This window comes from Homo sapiens, chromosome 4 (genome assembly GCF_000001405.40).
Source record: "Homo sapiens chromosome 4, GRCh38.p14 Primary Assembly".
NCBI classification, from domain to species: Eukaryota; Metazoa; Chordata; class Mammalia; order Primates; family Hominidae; genus Homo; species Homo sapiens.
This window is the reverse complement of record NC_000004.12, coordinates 61,811,668-61,839,551: the sequence shown is the minus strand read 5'-3', so window position 1 is coordinate 61,839,551 and position 27,884 is coordinate 61,811,668. Positions and strand designations below refer to the sequence as shown.

The 27,884-nt window shown below is 36.7% G+C and overlaps 1 protein-coding gene across 59 annotated transcripts in view; it reads right to left on the bottom strand.

Annotated features, from left to right (window-relative positions):
- ADGRL3 (adhesion G protein-coupled receptor L3) overlaps positions 1-27,884 on the bottom strand; it is an 878,010-nt gene that overhangs the window by 238,784 nt on the left and 611,342 nt on the right. For all 59 annotated transcript variants that reach the window (NM_001387552.1, NM_001322402.3, NM_001387522.1 and 56 more), the window contains one exon: positions 25,663-25,743. In NM_001387552.1, the coding sequence (NP_001374481.1) occupies positions 25,663-25,743 (81 nt within the window). The remainder of the gene's footprint in view (positions 1-25,662; positions 25,744-27,884) is intronic.

Here is a 27,884-nt window from a genome sequence, read left to right as displayed (position 1 = left end):
ACAACAAAAAACTACCATAAGTATACTTTTTTTTCCTCTTAGTTTAAGAATCACATGGCCAGGTACAGTGGCTCATTCCTGAAATTCTAGCACTTTGGGAGGCCAAGGTGAGAGAATTTCTTGAGCACAAGAGTTTGAGACCAGCACAGGCAACATAGTGAGAACTCTGTATCTACAAAAAATTAAAAAAAAAATTAGCTGGGCATGGTGTTGCATGCCTGTGGGACTAGCTACTCAGGAGGCTGAGGTGAGAGGATCCCCTGAGCCCAGGAGGTCGAGGCTGCAGTGAGCTGTGACAAGTGTCACTGTACTCCAGCCTGGGTGACAGAGTAAGGCTCCATCTCAAAAAAAGAAAAACAAAACAAAATCACAATCTAACTACAAACTTCACAGTTATATAAAAAAGTATACCACAGAAAGCAATACATATTTAAAACTACCACATAAGTTGCATTACTTTTAAATACTCCAGTACACGCTCCCTTTCTTCCTTCCCCATTTCCTTGCTCCACCCTACCCAAGTTTCCTTAACAAAAACAAAAAACAAAACACTCTCTATCAACAGGACTCCTTATATTAGATGACTTTGAAGATCACTTTTGTGTTATTCTAACTGGCATTTAACTTAGATTTCTTTAAAGATCATTCCCATTTGCTCTAGGCACTTACACAAAGAAAAGAATGTAAGTTAACTTATAGGCAGTGCCTTTCATATTTTATTAAATTAAGCCAACTCTCTTCCCTCCTCTGCAATAAAAAATAACAAAGAAAAGAAATTGAATAAAACAGTACCTTCATGCCTTTACTTAAAGATAAAAGGCATAGACCATTTTTACTTTCAACCGGAGAAATTATGATTTTTCTTATGATAAAACTTGATTCATTAACTTAATATAATAGAGTTGGTTATTCTTCAATTTTTCTAGTCAAAGATGTTAAGCATTTGTGTTTCTGTATTAGACATGTACATCTTTATTAAACCAAAGTAACTCAATCATACATGTTCAAATGTAGTTTTAATTTACCTCACATGAACAAAATTTGAAGTTCTAACAAATAGAAGAATGATCTTGAGTTTACCTGCTTGACAATCTTACATCCTTAAACAGAATCCTAAATAAGGCAAATGCTTAACTACCATGAGAAATCCTATAAACATTTCCTGTTTATTTCCATTTCCTTTTTATAGAGCTAGGTTAATACTGTGCCCAGTAATTTTAAACCACTGTAAACACCCTCTTAAAATAGCTGTGTTTTTCAGAAACTGTTTACAAGGCTTCTTGATTTAAATTTGATTTTTATCTTTATATGCAATGAAATGGTCAAAGTGGTTTATAGACATTTCTTTCTCTCTCCTCTTATGATGGAATCCAGCAAGTATAATTACTACTAAATAGCACCATGAGGTATTTATTTAGCTATAGCTTGGGATCTGGGGAAGGTGATTCATGGTAAAGAGAGTTTCATGAGAAAAAAACTTTATTTTCTTTCTCTTTCTTTTTTTTGCTCCCTCCCCCAAACAAACTTTATCAACAACAACAACAATGCCATTCTAGAGCTTACTCCTCAACTGTATGAAGCACATCATGACAATGGAACTCTTCATTTGAGAGCACCTTCCATGGAATTCTCACTTCATTTAACTTTAAAATGATCATGCAATGCCAGCTCCCCACCCTATCCCTAGGAAATAAGGTCTGTTTACTGACAACAGCGTGTAATTGTTTCTTCCTAGAAGACTACCATGACTATTATTTTTAAGTTGTTTCATAAGAGATGATAGTGAGGGGCCACTAAGAACTTCACAGTTGGCATGAAGATTATTTTAAGCTCAAAACCTTTGAGAATCTATAGATGCAGACAGAAGCCTTCCCAGAACTTCCCTAAAAACAGAACTTCTAAAAATATGAGGCTGCCATAAATTCCCATTTCAGGGTGAGACTACTCCTAGTGGGTAGAAAGAGAACATACCGACTCTGAGTCCCCTTTGGAAAATTTTAATGCCCTAAGGAAGACAAATAGACCAATCATACCTGTATAGATGAACATTATCACAAACTTTCCTAACATCTTCCCGTTCTCCTAAAAACCCATTTGTCTTTTCCAAAGAAACTATGGAAGCCTTTCTCCCCTCTCCCTTTCCCCAACTAAGTTAGGTATATAAGCACCACATTCTAATTGCCTTTGTGTAGTGATAATAAGTTACTCACCACTGAGCAGTCTTTGCAAGTGCATTACACTTTTAAATAAGCTTTTTCTCCTGTTAATCTGTCTTTTGTCAGTTTACTTTGTAGACCTCTTAGAATAAGACCTAGGTGGGTAGAAGAAAAGTTTTTCCTCCCTGGCACAGTATTTTGCTACTTTTAACATATCTTTTACCAACTCTAAAAAATGTAGTTACTCTTTAGAATCTATTCCAGAGTCCTGACTCTAGCACTTAATAGCTGGATGAACTACTTCATCTCTGTAAGCCTCAGCCTTTCATTTCTATAATGAGGATAAAAATATTTATCTTGTCAAATTTTCAAAAGAATTTGAAATATCCTATATGAAACACCAATGTACCAGGTTTAGAATTGCCATTCAGTCAGTGGTGACCTTTCTTATCCTTATTTTATTTGGTATTGCAATTTCTAATGATATTTCCTAAGTCTTCGATTTCGATTTTTCTTGTATTATTCAGTATTACTACTACACTTACAGTGAGGTAGAAGTCATATTTTAAATTACATGTTTATAAAGTCAAAGTTTTTACATGACGGAATAAATGGAAACCATTTATCAATTTTTTCCTAATCAAGAACATATAAAACGTTCAACAGAAGTAAATTTGTTTCATGACAAATACAGTCATTTTAAAACGAAATGTTAATAGGTACCATAAGTATTCATGAATAACGTTGTTATTCAAGGAAAAATATTAGCATAAGGAAGACATTTGGGTTTTACATGTCTCTTGATTTGAAATTATGGGTACTTCAGATTCATATAGTTTTAGAAATGCATAATGTCCTAATATCACACATTCAACTTTCATGGGTAAAATTGAAAAAGGGACTATAAAGTTTCATATCAACCATTTAACATTATCTACTCTAAATCACAGAAAAAAAATATCCAGTGGATTTTATAAAGGAAACACTACACTTAAATTGTTTCCACTTGGCTTCTATGACTTTTATGACTCCAATGTTTCAATAATTTTTGTCCCAAATATTATTCCATAGTACAGACAATAACAGATTTACAAAGTTTAAGAGAAACCTAATTATAGAATGTTTTTCTCAGAAATCATAGAATGTTGCAGCTTTAATATAATAGTTTTTCTAGTTTAGAAATTTTAAAGAGATTAATCTTTGTGAAATATAAGAAAGGACTAAAATTGGAAAGTGTGAATTCTCAAAAATTTGTCATTATTTTTAGATGAGATATTCTTCAATGGTAACAACGTTAAGCTTTTAAGGACACAAAGCAATACTGGATAAAATCTCGCTGTCTTGTTTTTTGTCTTTAAGAGCTTAACTTTGCGACCATGTCAGGCTACTTTTTCTTGGTTTCTGCCATCTGGAGGACAGGAATTTTGAGGTTCATTTCATGATTACCCCTAAAAATTATCTTGAGCAGTTAAAAGCCTTTGCAAGCTAAAAATTGGCTTCTCTAGGCTCCTTCTGGGAAAAACAATAGAAACTGCCCAATGCTGTGTAGCTCAGTAGTTAAGCCTTTATCTTTTGACAATGGTGGCCCAGGTTCAATTCTTGGCTTCTGGAATGATTCGTTTCTGGTTTGCTATTTATGTAACTTTGCCATTTACTGAGGTTTTTTCCCCCCATGGATAGCTTCTGGTTTCTTGTCTTGAATTTTCCTTTCTCTAAACTACCCATGGGGAGATTCCAAATCTTGTAAAAAAGAAACTCCTTACTATGTCTTTGAAGCACCTGAGAGGTTACCTTTGGCAAAGCTCAAAAGCCAGAAATATTGGCTACTTGATGTGGCTAAAGTCAGATAATAAAAGTTTAAAAGGATTTATTTTTTTTAAAGAGCACTATGGTTAAACATCAGCTTAATTAAAATTGGATAAACAAGTTACAGGAATATTTAAAAGGCCTTTATGTTTTTCTCTTCTTGGATCTTGTTTTTCTGGAAAAAGGTTTTTTTTTTTTTTCTTCTCAGTCAGCTGAATCATTTTTCTCCTTTTTTTTTTTTTTTTTTTTTTTCAGTCTTGCCACTCTTAATGCACACATGAGAGGTCCTAAGATAACTTCTGGTAGTGGTAGCCTGGGACTCCTTGGGAAAAACAGAGGAGGAGCCGCAGAACTCGTTTTGGAAAAAAAACCCTGTTTTCCTCATGAAACCCTGGAAATTAAAAGCAGATAGATTCCTCCCAATATCTAAGACTCTGTTCTGTTTTGCTTCGAGTTATCTGATGGTTTTAAGTTTTGGGGTTATCAAAAATTACTTTGAATTATGGGAAAGCTTTTACCCTTGGTGTATAATAAGTAGGTAAAAACATACACTTTAAGAAATGGCTAATGTCAGTTATGAAGAGATACTTAGCTCTTTGCATGCTTGGATCAGAGAATCATGCTCTTGGCCACATGGAAGATATGGAAACATCTGCACCCCTACTGAGAAGTGACACTCCCATGGGGAATGGGCTGATTACAAAATGCGCTGATTGACTTTGGGTTTTACCTTTAAAATTAGGAATTGCAGTCTTCATCCTAGTACTCATTATTTACCTTATAGTATGCTGTTCACTTCAACACTGTACTAAAATTATGGATGTAAGTACTAATGCCTTTGTCATGCAAGCCTTGGACCCCCACCCTGGCTCATGTGAGTTTGCTCAGCCAGGTACAAAGTGGTTTCACTCCTCTCACCTTGGGGTCAACTCCCATTCTCACTATGGCCCTGTCAGCAGGAAGAAGCCAAAGCCCTTGATGGCCTTTTCCCATCGTCATAGCCTACACCTTAAGATTAACAAGTTTTAAAACCCAAAGGGAGGGATTGAAACTGCCTTTCGATTCCTCAGGGATCTTGAACTAGAAATACCATTTGACCCAGCCATCCTGTTACTGGGTGTATACCCAAAGGATTACAAAGCATGCTGCTATAAAGACACATGCACACGTATGTTTATTGTGGCACTATTCACAATAGCAAAGACTTGGAACCAACCCAAATGTCCAACAATGATAGATTGGATTAAGAAAATGTGGCACATACACCATGGAATACTATGCAGCCATAAAAAATGACGAGTTCATGTCCTTTATAGGGACATGGATGAAGCTGGAAACTATCATTCTCAGCAAACTATCGCAAGGACAAAAAACCAAACACCGCATGTTCTCACTCATAGGTGGGAATTGAACAATGAGAACACATGGACACAGGAAGGTGAACATCACACACCAGGGCCTGTTGTGGGGTGGGGGAAGGGGGGAGGGGGGAGGGATAGCATTAACATGTTAAATGATGAGTTAATGGGTGCAGCACACCAACATGGCACATGTATACATATGTAACTAGCCTGCACGTTGTGCACATGTACCCTAAAACTTAAAGTACAATAAAAAAAAAAAAAAAAAAAGAAGCTGCCTTTGCAAAATTATGACTGAGACAGTGAAAGGGATCTGACCTAATCAACTCCATCTTGCTTCTATCCTCCAAACTGCTCCTGTTCACTCCTGGGCATAGGCTGAACTAACTTTGGGAAGAACTTAGTTTATAGTCTAAAACAAAGACAATAACAATCTTTCCCAAGACAAACCCCCTTCTTGCCTGGGGACTAGTTTGCCTTTGTAGGACTAACAAATTAGCCACAAGATTAGAAATTGTGGTTTAGGAGTCATGCAGCTGGAGGCTACAAGATTCTGACCCTCCCTAACCTGCTCCTAAAATCACTACTTGAGATATTTTGCAGATCCTGCACTTGATGGATCAGCTGGCACCACCCAGACTGATAAACTGGCTCATCTAATCTTGTGGCCCCCACCCAGGAATTGACTCAATCCGAGAAGACAGCTTTGACTCCCTATGATTTTATCTCTGACCTGACCAATCAGCACTCCTGGCTCCTACCCACCAAGTTGTCCTTAAAAACTCTGATCCCTGAATGCTCGGGGAGACTGACTTGAGTAATAAAACTCCAGTCTCCCACACAGCTGGCTCTCAGCGAATTACTCTTTCTCTATTGCAATTCCCCTGTCTTGATAAATCTGCTATGTCTACGCAGCGGGCAAGGTGAACCCATTGGGTGGTTACATGTTCACCTTTACACATTTTTTTAATGCAAAATAAACCAAGTGTCCTTGCAAGAACTATGCTCCTTATTTTATATAAAATTTCCATGCAGCCAGTATTTTTTCTACCACCTATAAAGCGTGATACACACTTCAATTTGCGATTCAGTCTTGGCACAACCAGCAAAAATGGAATAAATTTGAAGATAAAAATACAAATAAACACTTTTTTCTTTTAATTTCTAGATGGCACTATTACTTAATGGTTTTATTTTCACACGAAAATCCTCGAAATCTTGCATGTAGGCACTTCAGGAACTATACATGGCTCTACATGAACTCAATGGTCAGAAAGAAGAGAAAAACATGCCCGTAGTCCCAGCTACTCAAGAGGCTGAGGTAAGAGGACTGCTTGAGCCCAGGAGTTCAAGGGTGCAGTGAGCTATGATAAGAACACTGCACATAGACCCCTTCTCTTAAAAAAAAAAAAAAAAGAAAAAGAAAACAGAGAGAGAAAGAAAGCGAAAAACAATGATTCTAGGCCACTCAAGTGATTGATTATATATTCAGGTTTTCCAACAAGGTTTCAGATGATTAAGCTAGATTTTTGATATAGTCAATCCAGTGAAGGTGTTAGAAAAATACATATCAGATGATAAGGAAAGAACAGTAGATTATTGGAGGTCCCTGCTATTAGGGCACAGAAAATAATTCCCCACAATATGGTGCTTTGGCATGCTCAGTGCTTTAAAAATTCAAACGTCTCAGAACCAGGTCTGATGGTCTTTCTGGAAGCACTGGAAGGGATTTCTGCAGAATTTCCTTTTCTGACTAAGAAAGCTTCTTTCTAAAAGAAATGCAATTGTATTAAGACTCCCCTCCCTAGGAATCTCAACAAATATCCAGGAAAAATAAACACTGGAAAAAAGACTGACACAGATTGACTTTCATCTGTTGTCCTGAGGACAGCTCCAAGAGATTACCTGGGAGACTTCATCTGCACAATAAGTCATAACCTGTAGGTCCCATCCTTTGTCCTAAGAGAATCATTTACAAATTAATGTTTGCCTGCCAGGCCCACACATCTCTCGCCTCTGAAGAGAGTATTAAAGCCTAAACTGCTTGGCCCCTCTCCAAGTCTCATACATTGTATATGGCTCCTAACTCCATATGTGCATTAAATAAATCTTGTATGCCCTTTTCTCCTTTTGTCATTTCATGTTCAGTGAACATTAGAGGGCAGAAAGAATGCTTTCCCTTGGCCTCTACACTGCCAAATGCATCTGGTGGTTTAGAACAGGCTCTGAGGTCTACTCAGGTGTCTAGGGCTTGAACTGGCTCAGGGCTCTTCTATATGAAGCTTAATCTGCAGGCTTTAGATTTTTTTTTTGCCAGCCAGCGGAGACTTGCTGCCAGCTACCCCTTCATTCTGGTTATGCTTGCCTGAAGGTTAAGATATGTAAAAGACCGCAGTCTTGATCAGTTCTTTTGGGAAGCTTGCACCCCCTAAACAGTCTCAGCCAGAGCCATGCTAGGTCACCTTAGCATGAGGTTTCACCTACTAAACCTTAAAAATTTTATTTGAGTTGGCTATTAAAGTATCTTCCCCCATAACCTGGATACCTTAATGAACTTTCCAGCCATTTATGTCAAAGGGATAGTCTAGAGACTAATGTATCTATTGACGACTAGTGTCCACTGGGAGTAAATCTCAGAGGCTGTCCATGCCAGTTATAAATGCACTGGTGTGGCCAGACCTTGAAATTGCATTCTTTCACAGTACCAGGGCTTTTAAATTTAGAATGTTAGGAATACCTACCCCACCTCCCCTGCTTCACTCCTGGTTATCCCCCACTTAGCATCTTTTTTTTTTTTTTTTTTTTTTTTTTTTTTTTACTTAGCATCTTTTCCTTTCTTCATCTTCATGACGTTTTTTAGCTGTTGAAGACATCTCCAAAATGCATGGTTTCTTTAAGCCTATAGGCCTGGCAGAGAAGTTAATGACTTTCTATCACCTTGTTTCCAGTGTGAGTGCCATCGGTCATGACAATGATACTATGAAAGTTGTCAGAATCAAAATTCTCCCTCTCTTAATTGTTATTTAAAATGACAAAGCTAGGCCGGGTGTGGTGGCTCACGCCTGTAATCCCAGCACTTTGGGAGGCAGAGGTGGGTGGATCCCTTGAGGTCAGGCATTTGAGACCAGCCTGGCCAACACGGTGAAATCCTGTCTCTACTAGAAATACAAAAATTAGCCGGGTGTGGTGGCAGGTGCCTGTAATCCCAGCTATTTGGGTGGCTGAGGCACGAGGATTGCTTGAACCCAGGAGGCAGAGGTTGCAGTGAACCAAGATGGCGCCACTGCACTCCAGCCTGGGCACACAGCAAGACTGTCTCAAAAAATAAAATAATAAAATAAAACAAAATAATAAAGCTAGAACTAGGAGGAATAAAGCTAGGTCAATAATATTATGACACAGACACGATCTCCTTTTTGGCATCTCTAGCCCTTCAAATAGCTTAAGACAATTCTAATATGTCTATTGTAGATTAATTCTCATACCATCCTTCTCTATTAACAGTTTGTTAATATTTTCCTATTCTGTAGCATTCGGTTTCCTACTAATCTGGCTGGTCAAATAGTTTAATTGATTCTTAAACAGGCTTTGAGACTTCTTTCCCCCTACAGTTGGTCTTATCACTGCCCCAGTTCTAAGGTCCTCATTAGAAAATAGGCTAGACATCTCTGAAAGAATCTTTTCATAGATAGTAACTTCAATTGAGAGTCTAAGGATTTCTCTAATAATGATCTTGAATATAGACATGGTGGAGTTCTGATGGCATGTTGTTATGTCCAAAGAAGAGGGTAAAAAGGTTCTGCAGATGCCAGCAGGGAACATTACTTCTTTTTTGTCTGTTTGTTTTGTTTGTTTGTTTAGAGAGAAGGTCTCATCTCACTCTGTTGCCCAGGCTGGAGTATAGAGTTGTGGAGTTAGCTCACTGCAGCTCACCTTCCTGAGCTCAAGCAATCCTTCTGCCTTAGCCTCCTGAGTAGCTAGGCTAATTTTAAAGAAATTTTTGTAGAAGCCTGGGCAACATGGCAAAACCCTGCCTCTACAAAAAAAGAAAAATTAGCTGGGCATGATGGCACATGTGCTTGTAGTCCTAGCTTGGGAGGCAGAGGTAGGAGGATTGCTTGAACCTGGAAGGTCAAGTCTGCAGTGAGCCATGATGGTGCCACCACACTCAAGCCTGGGTGCCAGAGTAGAATCTGTCTCAAAAAAAAAAAAATTTTTTTTTTTGTAGAGATGGGAGACTTGTTATGTTGCCCTGGCCAATCTCAAACTCCTGGTCTCAAGAGATCCTCCTGCCATGGCCTCCCAAAGTGCTGAGATTATAGGCATGAACCACCATGTCCAGCCAGGAACATTAATTATTAAAGCCTACAAAGTACCAGTTCCTTGGCTGTCTTTATTCCTCCTGGTGCCTCTCTCAAAAACCTAAGCTTCTCTTTTCACTGTGTCTTTTGTACCTATTGCTTTGATAGTGCCACAGTTAACTAACTATACCCTGTTTATATTGTCCAATGGAGAAGTTCTTTTTTTAAAAAAAGTGGTAAAAAACACATAACATGAAATTTACCCTCAATTAACTTTAAGTGTACAGTACAGTATTAACTATATGCACATTATTGTATAGCAGATCTCTAGGGAGAAGTTCTATTTTTTTTCCAAAAAGCATTGTCACTTTACCAAAATCAAACTGAAATTCATTGGTAAACGAAACTAAAGAATTGTGCTTATTTTAAACAGATACGGGCATTAACATAATTGAGTATGGAATTTTACATCATATGTTATTCACATTTTCCCACTTCTCAAATTTCACAAATATAAAACAAAACATCTTATGTTTTAAAATCCCAAAGGATATCAGATTAAGTCCATGTGCTTAAAAAAAGGGGGTTGGTATTAGGAGAAATACATTTACAGCAAAAGTTACACGAATGGACTATTCATTTGTTTGGTCACTAATTCCATAGGGCAACTGATCATAAATTAAGTGCCTGACATTCAGTAACAGATGATCATATCTGACATAATGAAGTTATAATGGAAGGTGTTCGCACACTGCTTGACTATTAAGTGCCCATTTATTGTCCCTGCACCAGGTGTGATAGTGATAGGCTATACAAATCATCCAGAAGAAATGTCAAAATAGGCTCCTTTACTGATAAAGTACCACACATGTTTATTAATGTAGCAGCTTGTCTTAAGTCTGGCCCATCTGCTCATTTAAAACAAATCATTTCCCTACAAATATCTCAGTTAAGAGCATGACCACGAGAAATAGTTTTAGAGCAACAGAAATGGTAAGGGAAGAGGAGAAAAAGAAAAATAGCTGAGCTTAAATAAAATATTATGCTCTTACTTTTGTCTTAGATGCATTTAACAGGAGAAGGGGCAGGGACATAGCTTTTCATATGACATTTGCTTTAGATTAGTACTGCGTGAGTGTAGGCCATCGTAAATGGGCCAGGCTCCAGCTGTTGCTGATGCCAGGTGGGAAATGGCAAATTTCACCAATGTTTTCAAAGTACACATTTCAATAAAGTACAAAATGAAGTACTCCATTAAGACAGTCTCTAGAGCACTAGTTCATATGCATTTAAACTCATCAGAAAATATTTCAGCTGGGTCGATTTTATAAAGAAAAATAATATTGCAGATTTTTGCGAGGAGGGTGGGATGATTTTTAAACTCTGAAGATTTGCTTTTAAAAGCTCATTTTCTGTAAGATACCAACATCAAATTTCTGTATTAACAGGGGAAAACAACAGAAGCAAAATTTAAATGTTTGCCCCTACATCCACCACCCCATCCCCCGCACCCTGCGCTTTTTTTAATTTATATTTTATTTTTTTATTTTAGCAAATCAGAACTACAAGCCTAAGACATTTTCCATCTGGTATCTCAGGTTTTATGTGCTTGCATTGCAGCCTGTATGCTCTGTGTTGTGTCTTAGGATGGTTTTATCTAACAAACAAACAAGTATGCCCTAAGGGTTCCCTCTTAAATGAACAGGCACATTGAAATGAAGAACTACAATTATTCAAATTTGTGAAACAAAGAAAAGGCATGGACCATTTGGTGACCAGAGGTGGTTCCCACTCTATAGCCCTGGCTTCATTTATTCACTTATTAAAACCTAAATAAATTCTGGCAGGCATGCTTTTCAACTTCCAGGAAAGATCTTTATCAGACTCAGTATCACATAAATCCACTAGTAATACTTTTCTAAATAAATTACATCTCAAGATAACTAACCACCCGGTGACCAAAGGGCCAATTCAATTACTTAGACAAGGCTAAAGGTCTCAGACACTCCTAAAATTATTTTTTTTCATCTTTTATAGACTGAAAGGAACCACTTTGCAGTCATGTTTCACGCTACATGTACTTTCAAAGAATCAATAATGGGTGATCTTTAGTCTGAACATGAATTGCCCTTGTCTTCCAGAACAGTACCAAAATCCACCCAAATTATCTAAATTAGAAATCAAGGAATTTCTCTCTTGACATGTCCAACAATTCTAAACAATCAAGGAGGTCTATTTATGCTTTAACTGCAGTGTCTGAATCCACCATGTCTTTATTTCCATTGCTACTGTCTTTTAGTTTGCACTCTCAAGAGCATTTTATGAAATATCCTACTAATTCTCTTTGCTCTCAATCCACCTTAAGCACTGGAATCAATATTTCTATGCAAACTAATTGCATTAATGCCTTCTATGCTTGAAGTCCTTTGTGGTTTCCCACTATCTGTAGGATATTTGGAATTGCTAGGTTTAGTATACAAAGATCGATTATAACCTAGGCTATAATTTCTTTTGTCAGTGTCTTTCTTCCCACTTCGCCCCACATCAGTTGTTCACACTGAAGCCCTACTGAGTACTAGAAGCAATACAGACTAACCTTGGCAATAGATTAACAGATTCACAATCACCAGTCAAAAGTCTAACACTATCCGTGATTTAACAGAATCAATATTCAGCATGAGAATCTGATTGTGTGGGCACAGCAAATGCGGTCTTTTCATTGGTTATCCGTTAGCAGTTAATGCTCTTATGCTTAGCAAAGGCTTTAACCCCAGGGTATTTATTGGAATCCAGGCATGTGTTCCTTGAGATGCTGCTCTTAGAGACTCAGAATTTAGTCCTGCAATTCGAATATGCCTGTTTCTAAACTATTCTGCTACATCTGATCAGAAAAGTGAACCCATTTTGCCCACGGGACTATAACTAGTGTGGGAAATGGAAGGGAAAGAACGAAACGGAATCTTCGGAGAACAGAAGGGGCAGGAGGGAATTCTGTAGTAATTTTTTTTTTTATTATACTTTAAGTCCTAGGGTACATGTGCACAACGTGCAGGCTTGTTACATATGTATACATGTGCCATGTTGGTGTGCTGCACCCATTAACTCATCATTTACATTAGGTATATCTCCTAATGCTATCCCTCCCCTCTCCCCCAACCCTGTAATAAAATTTTAAGGAAAGGCCACACCAATATGATTGGATTTACCTCTCTCTAAGTCATTCTCCACCGTGTAGCTACAGTCATTTTTAAAAATTGAAACCATAGTATGTAGTACTCTATGTAAAAACCCTTCAGAGTTATTCACAGCTTTTAAAATAAGACCATAACTTCCTTCACGTCTTACAAGACCCTGCATGATTGTGGTATGATTTAGGTCCCACCTACATCCTCTGCCTATATCCCTACTCTCTCCTCTTATTATATTCTAGAAATTAGCTTATCCATTTATTTGTTTACTTTTTTGTTTATTTATACTTTCCTTTGTCTAGAATGTGTACTCCATGAGAATAGAAATCTTGACAGATTTGTAAACTGCTCAATCCCACAAATGCCTGGCAAATAGGAGGCCTTACTTAGTTTTGCTTAGTGAGTAAATTAGTTAATATACTATAAATTTCCTACTTCAGGGCCTTTGAACACACTATTCAACTGTAATAATGGCCAACTCACTTTCATTCTTCATGCTTCAGCTCAATGGTCACCTCCCTAGAGTGGCTTCCTTTGACTAACCATCTTATATGTCTTTTATGGCTATAATAATAATCAATTTATAATCTTGACTGTTTAATCAATAATTTTTTTATTGTCCAAATCTCCCACTACAAGGTAAAGTCCATGAGGGCAAAAATCTTTTCTCTCCTAGGCATTCACTATTGTACCGTCACATCAAAAATTAATTTGATTTAAATTCAACTGTATGCATTTAAAAAGAGTTTGAGAAAAGATTCTATTTGCCATTTTACTCAGTGACCACACAGCCCAGAGGGACTGAGGAGCAGTGATCAGGTTCCTTCAATGCTGTCTGTGTCTCCCTACACCCCTCATCACATAGGTATCTAGACACCCCAGAGCAATTTTATGACATTTTTAAATTCACATTTTCTGATATTAAGGAATAACTCACTATTGGACCACATGTCATGAATAATTTAAGAAATTTTTCAAGATCTTTTTTTGGTTAGCTTTACCCTATAATTTCAGAATTTAACCCATGCATAAGATGCAACTGCATAAAAAATATTTGTTGAATACTGAAGGACAGTTGGAGCCCTTAGGAAGGACACAGAGAAAAACTCATGTGTAGTTTTACATAAGACTGTAATAAATTATTTTACATATATTTGAGATTTTTAGTATATAGCCATTCACAACTCAAATATGTTTTTATATAAAATTAAAATTGTATCATAATTAAACCAATAGGATTTAAGGAGGATAAAAATATTGAAAACTCTGTTGAGAACTTTTTTATTTGATCTTACTATATGTGAGATATACTAAGCTTTTGACTAGAGCAATAGAGTATTGCTGCTAAATTAAATTAACCAATATTTGTATAGCATTCTTTAGGTTATAAAGCATTTTCACATATAATATCATACCAATATTTGATACTTAATCTTGGGAAGGAGATTTGTTGGAAAATCTGAGGCACTGTGGCAATGGTTTTGTCCATGGCCATATACTCAGCAAAGTGGGATATCAGGATTAAATGCAGGCATTGGTATTCATGCTATGTACTTACATTTGACTCCACCTAGGATGTTCTGATGCCACATTTAACAGCGAGGCATATTGTTTTTTGCTGCAGTCTTAAAAAATGGAAATAATTGCTGGACCCAGAGCTATCACTAGCAAAGAGAAAAGTGCTTCTTGGCATTGAGAGAGCCAAGTGCTTCTTAGTGTCGATGCTAAGAAGCATATGCCTTTTAGCAGCTAAGGAGAAAAGATTCTCATTCTCCAAGTGGTACTATGTAGGCTGATGTTGTATGTATAACAATTCCAACCCCTACTAAAAGATCTCAAAAAAGAAGATCTTTAAATGCAGGCAATTAACTCTAAAAGTAAAATTTAAAATGCAAGGATTACCGAATATAATTTTTATCATACATATCTTCTACATCTATTGTCAAGTAGGAATTGTTATATTCAAGAAGATTCTCCAGAGTGGCATGTGTGTGTGTGCATATATGCATGTGTTATGTTGAGTATGCCAAATAATTTGGAACCTTGCAGCTGTGGATATGCAGCAGGTGGGGTTGAGCAGACTGTTACATTTGGAGGTCAAGGCAGACCTCTTACTTCACCCCCTCAGGCTTTGGTGGTAACAGCCAACACAACTACCAGCCAGCTGTCTGCTCCAGGCAGTAAGACAATTAATTTTTACTATACGGGTATAAAACTATTTTCTGGTGATTACATAAACATTAACCATTTTGGGGAAGAGAATATTGAAAACATTAAAAAATAGGATATTTTATCAAAGATTACATTTTAATATTTTACAAGATTTAGTACATTAACTTGTATACAATTTGTAATACATCATTAGAATGCCTGACCTCTTTTTGCAGTATGATTTTAGATACGTTTTCTGAGAGAAGCGTACATGTTTATGAAAACAGTAAAAGGTAAAGGGTGGCACTAGAACAAAGATGTTTTAAAGAAAACAACAAGCACACAAAAAATTATTTGTCACTTGGTGAGTAAATAGTAGATATGTCTTCAAACTACTTGTGTCATATTGCATTCTTAAGATGAATAAATAAGATGATGAAAGATTTTCTTAAAAATACTATACTATGGATAGTCAGATCCTCCCACTCCTTGCTGATAATGTTTCATTAAAGATTACTTTTTTTTTTGAGACGGATTCTCGCTCTGTCGCCCAGACTGGAGTGCAGTGGTACGATCTGGGCTCACTGCAACCTCTGCCTCCCAGGATCAAGCAATTCTCCTGCCTCAGCCTCCCCAAGTAGCTGGGACTACAGGTGCGTGCCACCACGCCCAGCTAATTTTTTGTATTTTTAGTAGAGACAGGGTTTCACCATGTTAGCCAGGATGGTCTTGATCTCCTGACCTCGTGAACCACCCCCCTCATCCTCTCAAAGAGCTGGGATTACAGGCGTTAGCCACCATGCCCAGCCTATGGATTACTTAGTACAGTGTATAGGACTGGGCACTAAGTCGTAGTTCCTTTCATATACATGAAAAACTGCCATAGCAGATTTTTTTTAATACCTAGGTTTGAATCCTGGCTCCAAGGCTTAGTATTATCTGTCTTACCTTTATAAAGTTAAACAACTTCTCTATGTCTCAGTTTTCTCATTCACAAAAAGACAATAATAATTGTCTACCTATTTCATGATATTTGGGAGATTAATGAAATAATAATCCATGTCAAGTGCTTAGAATAGAGCTGGGAACAAATAAATGTTAATACCACTCAAAAAGGTGATATCTATGGAAAATCCTAAAGAATAGTATGATTAGCTCTCTTCGGGAAGGAATTATAAGAGAGGGAGTCATATGAATTATATTAGATCAAACACATGATTTCACAGTTAATTTGCATAGTAAATATTAGCTATTATCATTGTCATTACTGACTAGCAATACCTCTGTCAAAACTTGTGATATTTAGACATTAAACATATTTTTTCAGAACAAAAAAACACAGCTATACCACCACTTTTCTGAAAGAGACTAAAAACAAAGTAAGACAATGAGAAATAAGCCCTGGAACCTATAGTAGCAATCTTAGGGAAGCTGGGCCAGTGAATAACCTCAGAAGAGAGAACACAGGAATCTCCGCATGGGATTTGGGGAGAGGTGAAGTTGAGAGAACTGAGCCTGATCATAGCTACTTAGAGACATACTAATCCCGGTGACTTTCTTTTCTCTGGAACAGTGATTTCTCTTCTCTGGAACAGTGATCAAGGGGAGAATCAACATCGGGGAGCCACTGTATTCAACGTGAGCATCATTATCACTGGATCTGCAACCAGTCACATCAAACCTGAAGAAGAATGTTCAGAGCATGACAGTACCAAGCCTTTATTTAACACCCTTTGAATACTAAGAATAACCATTCCATCAGCCAGCATGGAAAGAGAATTTGAACAAATTCTTTTTCCCTTCTCAATTGGCTCCTTTAGAGACCACCAGGACAAACTGACTAACAACCAATATGAAAAACTACCAGATCATTCTACTCTCTGGGATAATTATTCTCAGTATATGAATTATAGACCACAAGGGGCAGAAAGAGTATGCTAAATTATTTCAAATTATAAATGTTAACTTTTAAACAAAAACCTATAATTGGAAAGTATGTTACAGGTTTGCAAAACCCTCATACTTATTCCTGACAATATTGAATAACAAATACATTTTAGCATTAAGTTTAGAATATAATTTTAATTAAAGTCAACACATTCTATTAGTATTATAAAGTATTATGGTATCATGCAGGAACCTAGAGATATGATAATCATGATCATTAAGTCTGAATAAAAAAGTAATAGGATCCTTGTGAGACTAATTGAGACAATGTGTATGAAATATATTTTTCTGTGTTTGATACAAGGTACATACTTAATAAATGGGAATTGTCTTTACCGTTAATATTAACAAGCTATACTCTCTGCCTGTATCTTCTAGGTGTTCACAGTGTACTCTAAATAACAATAAAAATGTTTGGCTTTACAAGCATAGGAACACAGGAAAAGAGTTTTAATTTAATGCAATCAAAGAACTCCGTTATATGCAAGTTTCGTTTGTATTCTATTGGGAGAAGAGTAGGTAAAACTAGGGAATTTATGTTCCCTCCCCCTGTAATGTCTGCTAATCAGATAAGTTAGAAAAGCATCATCGTAGAATATTAGAGAACTGGCCTGCAGACTCTTCAAGGAGAATGCCAGATGTGACATTCCTATTTTATTTTAGTTAATTTCGACTGTTTTTATACTTAACTAGATAATAGCAGGTGTTAATGTTTCCAATTTGTAATAGTAAATCTTTGGCTACAGCCTATTTCTAATATAGATGCACTAGGCAGAACCACCTGCTTATTTTGAACTTTAAAAAATATTTTCAGTGAGTGGATTTGCTGAATATAATTCAATTTGCACATGAAACTTAATGCCTGGCATTTCTCTAGTTCATTGATTATGTGTCAGTTGAACCATATTTATATTACTTGGTTTATTTGAGGGAAAAAAGGTAAAAATAATTGTAATTTTTCAAATGTGAAAAATTAGCTTTGTCTCAGAGTATATATCATAACTGTCAACAGTTTGCAAATGTATAAATTAGCATCCAATATTAGACTTCTTATTAAGACACTACCTATAAAAAAACCCAACAAAATTCACTAGATTTATAAAAAGTAGTAATTAGCTAGGCATGGTGGTGCATGCCTGTAATCCCAGCTACTCGGGAGGCTGAGGAAGGAGAATCACTTGAACCCGGGAGGCGGAGGTTGTGGTGAGACGAGATCAAGCCATTGCACTCCAGGCTGGGCAACAAGAGCAAAACTCTGTCTCAAAAAATAAATAAATAAATAAACAAATAAATAAATAAATAAATAAATAAAAAGTAGTTCACTATATTGGAAGGTGGAATATATTCAATAATTGTCAATTTTTTATATAGGAAAATATTCAAAATAGCATCATTAGTATGGCATTAGGAGGGCATTTTTTAGAAGTTAATGTCTTTTTTTTTTTTTTTTTTGGTAATTGGCAGGAATTTGTCTAACTTCAATTGTTAGTGATGCTGTGAAGAATTTCTATAATGGATTCTATAATGGACTGCTAAGGCTGTCACCAAACTGTACAGGAAAACAATGAAACAGACAAACACAAAATAAAAACAACAAAGTCTCAACTGAAGGATGTGTCCCAACTGGTATATGTAAACCTCAAATAATATATGCCTCTGCTTAGGATTCTGATTTACCTTTAACACAAATTCCCACCCAACCACCTTCATTGAGTGACTCTGTCTGTAATATATTAAGATTTGATTCTAGGGTAGGGCATTTTGCATGTGAGTAGTCAGGAGGCAAAATAACGGTTGGGAGAAAGGAGAGTTGGTGGGGACATATGACCTTCAGAACTCTAACTTTTAATGAGTCCTGCTAAGAACTCTCATGTACTTATTTACAAATCTGCCATAAAATCACCGAAGTAGTATTTCTTTCATTTCCACTTTAGTAAAACTGGGAAATATGCCTCAAAAGCATGTAGATCTTACTTGCGTACAGAAATATATAATCAATCCCATTAAATTAACTACAAAATTATAACAAACTTGTTTTAATAATGAAAGTTTTAAAAATAATAGTGCTTTGAGAAGAAGCTTTTTAAAAAAGTCCTGATTAATGAGACGTATGGCAAGAGGAATTACTATAATGCTGAATGCTGATTCAGAACCTTATTTTTATTAAGTCGTTTATAGTGAAGGCTGTGACTATTTTTCTATTTATAGTGGCAGCTCTAGTTAATTACCTTGTAATGTATTGTGATTTTAATGCACTAGTAAACTATTGGAATTTACACCCCTATTCAGTAATAAAATCTGTAAATTGAAGAATGCACATAAAGCCATCACAGCCATAAATTATGCAGCCAAATGCTATGTACGAACACATTAGATTTAAAGAACAGAATCTCTCAACTTTGCTCATTAGTATATAAATTCAGTGGCTACTTTGCAACTGCAGAGAGTACAACATTTTATTCAAAGGTATTTTGTAACTTGTTACTATATTTTCCTTTTGATTACTAAGAGCAGGTTGAACATAATTCAAATGAACACTATCAGAAAAGAAACACACTGTGACTATGGTAAACAAATGTAACAATAACACAAAATACTTTTTCCCTAAAAATATGAAAGTGAAAGTCGAATAAATCAAGCGAATTGAAAGGAGGTAGAATGGTGACCCATGGATTAAAACTAAAATGATTCACAGGTGAGGGGGAAGAAGGGGGTTAGAATGTGATTTTATATATGTATATAATTTTCAAAATAGAGTTTTAAAACTCAGTTTCAAAGTTACCAATAATTACTTTATTGTCTCAAACACTCAAAGCACAATCACTATTATAAAAAGTAAGTATCAAGTAATCCAAGATATTTCATATGACAAAAGAATAAAATGGCAAAGTATCTGAAGCAGTCTTCTCTGTTATTTTTAGATTGAGTTCACATTGTTAGATTGAGTTTCCTCTGCTAATATTTATGACTATGTTAATATATTTTAAATGTTTTTGTTTCATATTGCTAGACTGATGAATAACAGAAAATTAAGTATGATTTTCCTATAGGAATATAGTCAAGTCCATAAACTATAAAAGGAATTAATACATAAAGCAATAATTCCTGAAACATTAACATATATGTAGACTGGTGAAATTGCTTCAGGAAGAGAAAGAAAAAGATGTAGAGAGTCATGGGTGAATGGAGTAAGGGGAAAACCTAGAGATGTTGCTCATATTTTCAATACGTATGAAATTACAGTAGAAAAATAGAAAAAGAAAAGGTAAGATGGTTAGCTAGTGTTAGTTTGTAGGCAATTCAAAGGATATTGCTATATAATCTCACAAAAAAAATTACTGGAGATAGAATTTCAATTATTTAAAGAACGTAATTTGTCATATTTTTTACATTCAAATAAAAACCCATAACATACAAGAGAAACTCGCTCTCTTCCTCCTCTCTCTCCCATGTCCCTTGTCAACAGATGAGCAGATAGATATAGAGATGTATGTACATTTTGCATGTATAATTTGAATGCATATACATATCAACAATAGTGTACAGTATATTTTTAAATTATAAATTAAGATGAGGGGTTATAGTTGAAAGGAAATATTTTATAGTTCCAAGCTAATGATATTATTATACCAACTCTACCTCATTTCTAATATTTGTCTTTAAATATAAGATAATCTTAAGAAAAATGAGTAAGAGTTTTTGCATTGTTATTTTGGTAATTTGTACAAATCTCTTTATTTGTCTAATTAATTTTATTTTTATTTTGAAAATTGCAGGGCAGGGTCACATGAGCTAGTGATTATAACTGCAATTGGATTGAACAATTAATCACAGAACAATTTAGGAGAGTCTGATCTGTGCATGCAGAGGAATTTATATAATTCCTCCTAAATCGAATAAGAAGTAGAATCTATCAGGACAACCATTTTAAGGTAGAGAGCACAATTTGAGGTAGATATCAAGCAGAAATGACTGTTGGACTTTGGTTGATATGGTTGGGATCTGTGTCCTTGCCCAAATCTCCTGTCAAATTGTAATCCCTAATGTTGGAGGTGGGGCCTAGTGGGAGGTGACTGAACCATGGGGCCAGATTTCTTACGAATATTTTAGCACCATCCCCCTTCAGCCCTGTTTGTGTTACAGCTCCACAGTGTTGTCCTCCAGACCACAGAATGGTAGGTCCACTGATGGCTTGCACCATGCACCTGGAAAAGCTGCAGATGCTCAATGCCAGCTCATAAAGGGCTGTGCCCTGCAAAGTCACAGGGGTGGAGCTGCCCAAGACCATGACAACCCACCTCTTGCATCAGTGTAACCTGGATGTGAGACATGGAGGCAAAGGAGCTTTAAGGTTTAATGACTACCCGATTGAATTTTGGGCCTGCATGGTGGTTGTAGCCCCTTCATTTTGGCCAATTTCTTCCATTTGGAATGGCTGTACTTATCTACTGCCTCTACCCCCATTATATCTAGTAAGTAACTAATTTGCTTTTGATTTTACAGGCTCATAGGCAGAAGGGACTTGCCTTGTCTCAGATAAGAGTTTGGACTGTGGACTTTTTAGTTAATGCTGAAATGAGTTAAGACTTTAGGGGAACTGTTGGAAAGGCATGATTGGTTTTGAAATGTGAGCACATGAGATTTGGGAGGGGCTGGGATGGGATGATATGGTTTGGCTGTGTCTCTACCCAAATCTCATCTTGCATTGTAGCTCTCATAATTCTCATGTGTTGTGGGAGGGACCCAGTGGGAAATAATTGAATCATGGGGGCAGTTTCCCCCATACTGTTCTCATGGTAGTGAATAAGTCTCATGAGATCTGATGATTTTATAAGGAGTTTCCCTTTTTGCTTGGCTCTTGCATTGTCTCTTGTCTGCTACCACATAAGATATGCCTTTCACCTTCTACCATGATTGTGAGCCCTCCGCAGCCATGTGGAAGTGTGAGTCCATTAAACCTCCTTTCTTTTATAAATTACCCAGTCTCAGGTATGCCTTTATTGGCAGAGTGAGAACAAACTAATACAGTGAGTAAGGTGGACAGGAGCTTCATTGAGGGACAGAATGGCTCTCAGGAGACCTGAAGTGGGTAGCTTCTCTCCACAGGCAGGTCATCCTGATGAGTGTTCAGCTCTCAGTGGAGAGGAGACTGGCAGTGGGTGGCTCCCTTCTGCAGGCAGGTCATCCCAACGTCTGTCCAAGTATGGCTGAGTCTGGGGTTTTTATGGGCTCAGAAGGGTGGAAGTGCATGCCAATTGGTCCATGGGCAGCCATGGGAGGGCTTGAACAAAAGGACCATAAGTTCTCAATCCAGGCCACAGACTCCATCCAGAACTGGCAGCCCAACCCACAGGCTTCAGGCCATCCCTGCCTTGAAAGTGGGGTTTAAACCGGACACCCGGCCCTTTCAGCCCGGGAACCTGTCTGCCTCCTGCCTTCAACATGCCATTCATGGTGCCCAGGGTTTTCATGCCTTGGTGGGGGGGGGGGGGTCTGCAGACCTGTGCCAAGCTACCTTCAGCCCCCCAAACCTGGGCTTCCATCCCTGAGCTTGTCAGTGTTCAAAGTTTCAGAGAGTGTCAAGGTGGTGGAGTGGGGCTGGGATGTCAGCACAACCCCAAGCACATGCACACCCAGTCAGGTTGCAACAATGCCCACGCTTGGCTTCAATTTTGCTCCAAAATTGGAGTGGGCACCAGGAGCAGGGAGAGGTCAGGGAGCAGGAACAGGTACTTCTGAGCCTGCAGTGGCAGTGGTGGCTTCCTGGGTCCCTGAGAGCTCAGGGATGGCTGGGTCCAGAGCTGCTACTAGGAAGCTGTCCCTTTAACTTGGTAGGGGGTGCCTGTTCCTGGCCCCTGCCGGCTCAGCAGAGCATGAAGCCCCAGGCATGCCTCCCCTGCTGCAGCTGGCATCCCCACAGCGGCTGTTCCAGACAGGTCACTTGGAACTACAAACTGATGAGCCCCTTGCCTGGCCATTTATTGGCTTCCAAATCCCTTTATCAGTCAGTTTTTTTGTCGTTTGATTTTACATTTATTTTACTTTTTATATGACTACCTATGGTAGTTTATAAATTGTTCTAATTCCTCTTCTTATATTCATGGTCCTTTGAAGTGTGGCTCCTCAATCAAGGGATATAATCTATTTCTGCTCTCTTAAATTGAATTTGCTCTGTGACTTGCTTTGGCTAATGGGACATCAGCAAACATGACAGTAACCTGCTGAATAAAGAGAGAGACATGTGACCATCACCCTAGAGACACCAGGGCAATTTTCAAAAACGTGAGTGAGTCCCCTCCTCTGCAAAACTAACCAGCCTGTTAACTATAAAACATTCAGCCCCAGCTAATTCAGTGGACATTGGCTAACTCTCAAAACTATAATAAATATTTCTTGTTTTAAGTCACTAAGTTTTGGAGTAGATCACTATACTGTCTTATCCATGACCCTAAAGTAGTACTCTTTTTCAAATCATATTGGGATCTTGTATGAGGAACTGAATTCTACCGAAGTCACCAACTCACATTAGTAGGACTCTTACCTTTCAAGTTTAGTAGGAATCTTCTACTATGAATTAATGTGTCTAAAGCAATGCATTGATTTATAATTCATATTTATTTCTCATGATGAACAATTATGTCATAAGCATCCATCTCAGTCCGTTTGTGATGCTATAACAAAATACTTGTGATGGGGTAATTTATAAAGAATGGAAGTTTATTTTCTCACAGTTCTGGAGGCTGAGAAGCCCATCGTCAGGGGCTGGCAGATTCAGTGTCTGGTGAGGGCTGCTCTCTGTTTCCAAGATGGCACCTCCTGCTGTGTCCTCACATTGCAAAAGGCCTAAGAGCAAAAAGGACCTACCTAGTTTCCTCTAGGCCTTTTATAAGGTCATCAATCCATTCATTAGGTCAGTGGCCTTATGCCGTAATCATCTCCTAAATGTCCACCTCTTAATACTAATGCAGTTGCACTGATGATTAAGTTTCAATATGAATTTTGGCAGGGATACAAACATTCAAACCAAGTAGCATCCAAGCAGTTAATCAATATAGAAACCTCAGAGGCATTTCTGCCCCTTTCCCTGTATCTATTCATTGAAATGTCATGTCTCTTCAAAATAACTTATCAGATCCTCACATTGCCAGGACACACACCTAATTTCCCCATCATCTTTTATCTGAACTGCTGAAAAGCCTCCTTCTGCCAATCTCTTCTCCAATCAGCTTATTACCTACACTAACACCAGAAATATGTTTCTCATATCTCGAACTGATAATGTTATGATGTAACACCCAACTGACCTGGGGAAAAATAATTTAAAATATTTCATGTTTTTATCCAGGATAAAACACAAACTCCTTGGTATGGGATACAGAATCCATCACAATCTGCCTCGTTACATCTCTCTAGTCTTTTCCTCTAGAACCGCTCCCCTTTTACTGTGCATCCAGCACAATTCCTTAAAAATACCTTCACATATTTATGTTTTATCTCATTTTTCTTCCCTTTCATGGGATTCGCTTATCATTTTTCCTCTCTTTTTCTCTAATAAAGCACAGATGCATCCTTCAGGATCTAGGCGGTCACCTTCACTGTCAGTACCTTAGAAATCATTGTATGAGTTTCCATTATGTGCCAAGCGCAGACCCGATGGCTCAGGGAAAAATAATAAATATGACATTCTGTGCCCTCACAGAGCATACAGATAAGGGAAAGGATCATGTATGCCACAAAATAAAATCCAGTGTCTTAGGTGTGTAATAACTGAGGCAAGCACAGGCGGCATTTGGAAAACTGACACGTGCACATAGGTCCACCCTATCACACAGTCAGGGAAAACTTAATAGAGAAACTAATATAGAGGAGGGCCTTGAAATGTTGGTGGAAACCTATCAATTAGGCAAGAAGGGATAAGAGACTCCCAGGAGAGGAAATAGGCTATACAGAAAACATGTTCAGAAACGTCAGACCTCATGAGTTTTAATTTATTAAGTAATTAATACTGTTGAAAATGTAAGAAAATATACTGCATTACTCAAAACCAAAAAGTTAACCTTGGAATATTTGGTATTTATAAAATTAAAAAGCATGTCCACATATCAGCTGTGAGAACAAGAAACATTTTGAAAATCATTGGTAAATATTTATTTAAAAGCAGGAGGATTAAATTTGTATTTAGATTATGAGACAGTAAATGTTACCTTTAATTTTTATTTTGTATGACTATTTACAAAAATCTTTAACTGAAACAGGTGGCACCAATTTAAAAATACATAATTTTAACACATATTTTAAAAACTAAATGATGTTAATATAAAATGACTTAGAATAATAATAAAATATTACTTTTCAGGGGAAAAAAATCTGTCAATATGATTTAGATTAAGACATCTTAATGTAAAAAAAAAAAAATAAGATAGTAGAAAAAGAAGGTCCCAGTAAAAAAGTTAACGGTTATCTGGTAATTTCTAAATCTAAATTGGTATTCAACTAGTCCTCCACTAGTTGAATCACTATAAATACTGATTTATTGAAGCCATTGTATTTTAGTTTACAAACATTTCTCAGAGAAATATTTCACATTTTTGTTTATAAATGAGACTTGCTTTATCTCCAGATTACTCACATACTTCATTTTACCCCTGCTTTTTGAACAGGCACTGCATTACAAAATACATATGTACAACCATCATTGCTTTCATCAAAGAATGAGCAGAGTTACTTTTTCTTCATATAAAGAAAAACTCACCTTTAACAGAGGGTCTTTCTAGCTCAGAGTCAAGGTGAATTGGCGGAGAAATGTATGAAACTTGTCCATGATGTGCCTGCCCTGTGGACCCAAAACAAATTGTTAAGAAGACATCATACGTATGTCTTTTCCCTTTTTAAATTGTTTTTATGATATAACACTATTTCACTCCAAACTGAATTAATAGCCTAAATTAAAGAGTAGACATATCTGCCCAAACATAAAAACAATGTGTCATCCGAACATCACCCAATTAAAGCAGTGCTTTTCCAACAATCTGAGTTATGTTTCTTCTTTTTTTGTTGTTGTGAAATTACAAATTTGTTATGGAGTGATAACTTTAAAAACACAATAAAAATGAGTTATAAGAAAAAAAACTCAAAGCAAAGACATATAAAACAAAAGTCCTTATTTTTTGTTGTTAGATTAAATAAATATTAAGTGGCATATTTATTTGCTGTAAATATTTCTTTCTTATTTATTTATTTATTTATTTTGAAATGGAATCTTGCTCATTGCCCAGGCTGCAGTGCAGTGGCGTGATCTCAACTCACTGCAACCTCCGCCTCCAGGGTTCAAGCTGTTCTCCTGCCTCAGCCTCCTGAGTAGCTGGGATTACAGATGTGTGCCACCACGCCCATCTAATATTTTATATTTGTAGTAGAGATGGGGTTTCACCATGTTGGCCAGGCTGGTCTTGAACTCCTGACCTCGTGATCCACTCGCCTTGGCCTCCCAAAGTGCTGGGATTACAGACTTGAGCCACTGAGCCCAGCTTGCTGTAAATATTTCTAAACTCTCGCAATTTCTGCACCTACCTCAGTGCAGATCAGTAATAAACAGTCTGCAGACTGGCACCCAATGTACAAATAACACTTTGAGAAATGTTTATTTAGATCACTTTACAATTATGATTAATTTATATTTTACCTTTAAGATTCACCTCCACTACTTGAACACAAAAGTATTCCTACTGTATTTAATGAAAAAAACAACTAACCACAATTTAAAAGGGAAGTAGATGGATTAATTCTGTCTTCCTTGCAAAACATTTTGTTAGCTAACACACAAATTTGTAATACACTTTCTGTTTTATGAGATGAAAGCATTAAAGTGAATTTTAAGGCCAAGATGCTGATTTGAAAAATTGTTAGCTTAAATATAAAAGAATTATCTAATTTTCAAAGTAGCCATTGTTTGTATACTGATAATAATAAGCAATTAGGATTTTGAGGCAAGAAAGCATAATTACACAGTTCAATTTCTAAAGGTACTTTATATACAGAAGGTTTGAGTGGGAGTGGAGGACCCACTACTTTCTTTCTACAATGGGAATATGCAGTTATATATTTCACACATTTACTATAGCAATTTACAGGGTTGTTAATCTCTTTTCCTAAACAAGGAAAGTTAATGATACATAGATTATGATAACAGTTGGAGTAACTTTCCCATTTCAAGTAATATTCGACTTGTAATAAGCTCCGCTGATTCCTCTTATGAGGCACATTTCAAATAATTAATATGGCTCCCTGTTGATAGTAGCTGCCTTTGCTCCCAGCATTTTTCCAGCTAACAGCAGAGACAGTGGAGAGACTGTAATATACAGAGTCCCTCATAATGGTAACTAAGAATATTGCACATTCACTGGCCATGTTTCAGTGGAATACTAAAAACATTATTATAAAAAGAATAAGACACTAATTGTGTACTGTTAGCAGTTCATGTTCAATACAGTTTATTGAGAACTTCAGATAATCTTAATTATAAAATCACCTCTTGTCCTATGTAACATATTGGTTGCAAAGACATTTCTATTTTTAAGGCCCTGTGTCATTACATACAGATTGGTTTGAAACTTTGTAGATCTTGTAAATATCGTAACTACAATATCGTAATATCGTATGTAATATTGTAAATACAAATATATCATTTACTTTATATTGGCTCAAAATAACCTTAGCATATAGAATAATATTGGTTTTCTGTATAATACTGGAACATTGCTTTCATCACCTAAGACAATAACCACAAAACACTCATACATACCTAATCTCCTTTCATACAACCCCCATCACTATGTACTTTGTTAATACATGTGCATTTTAATACCAAAGAATAGTGGCAATAGAGAAATGGCAGGGTAGATTGCGAATTAGTTTCGATTACATTTACTCTAGGTAAAATGACACATTTATATGGAGATATAGACACACTACATC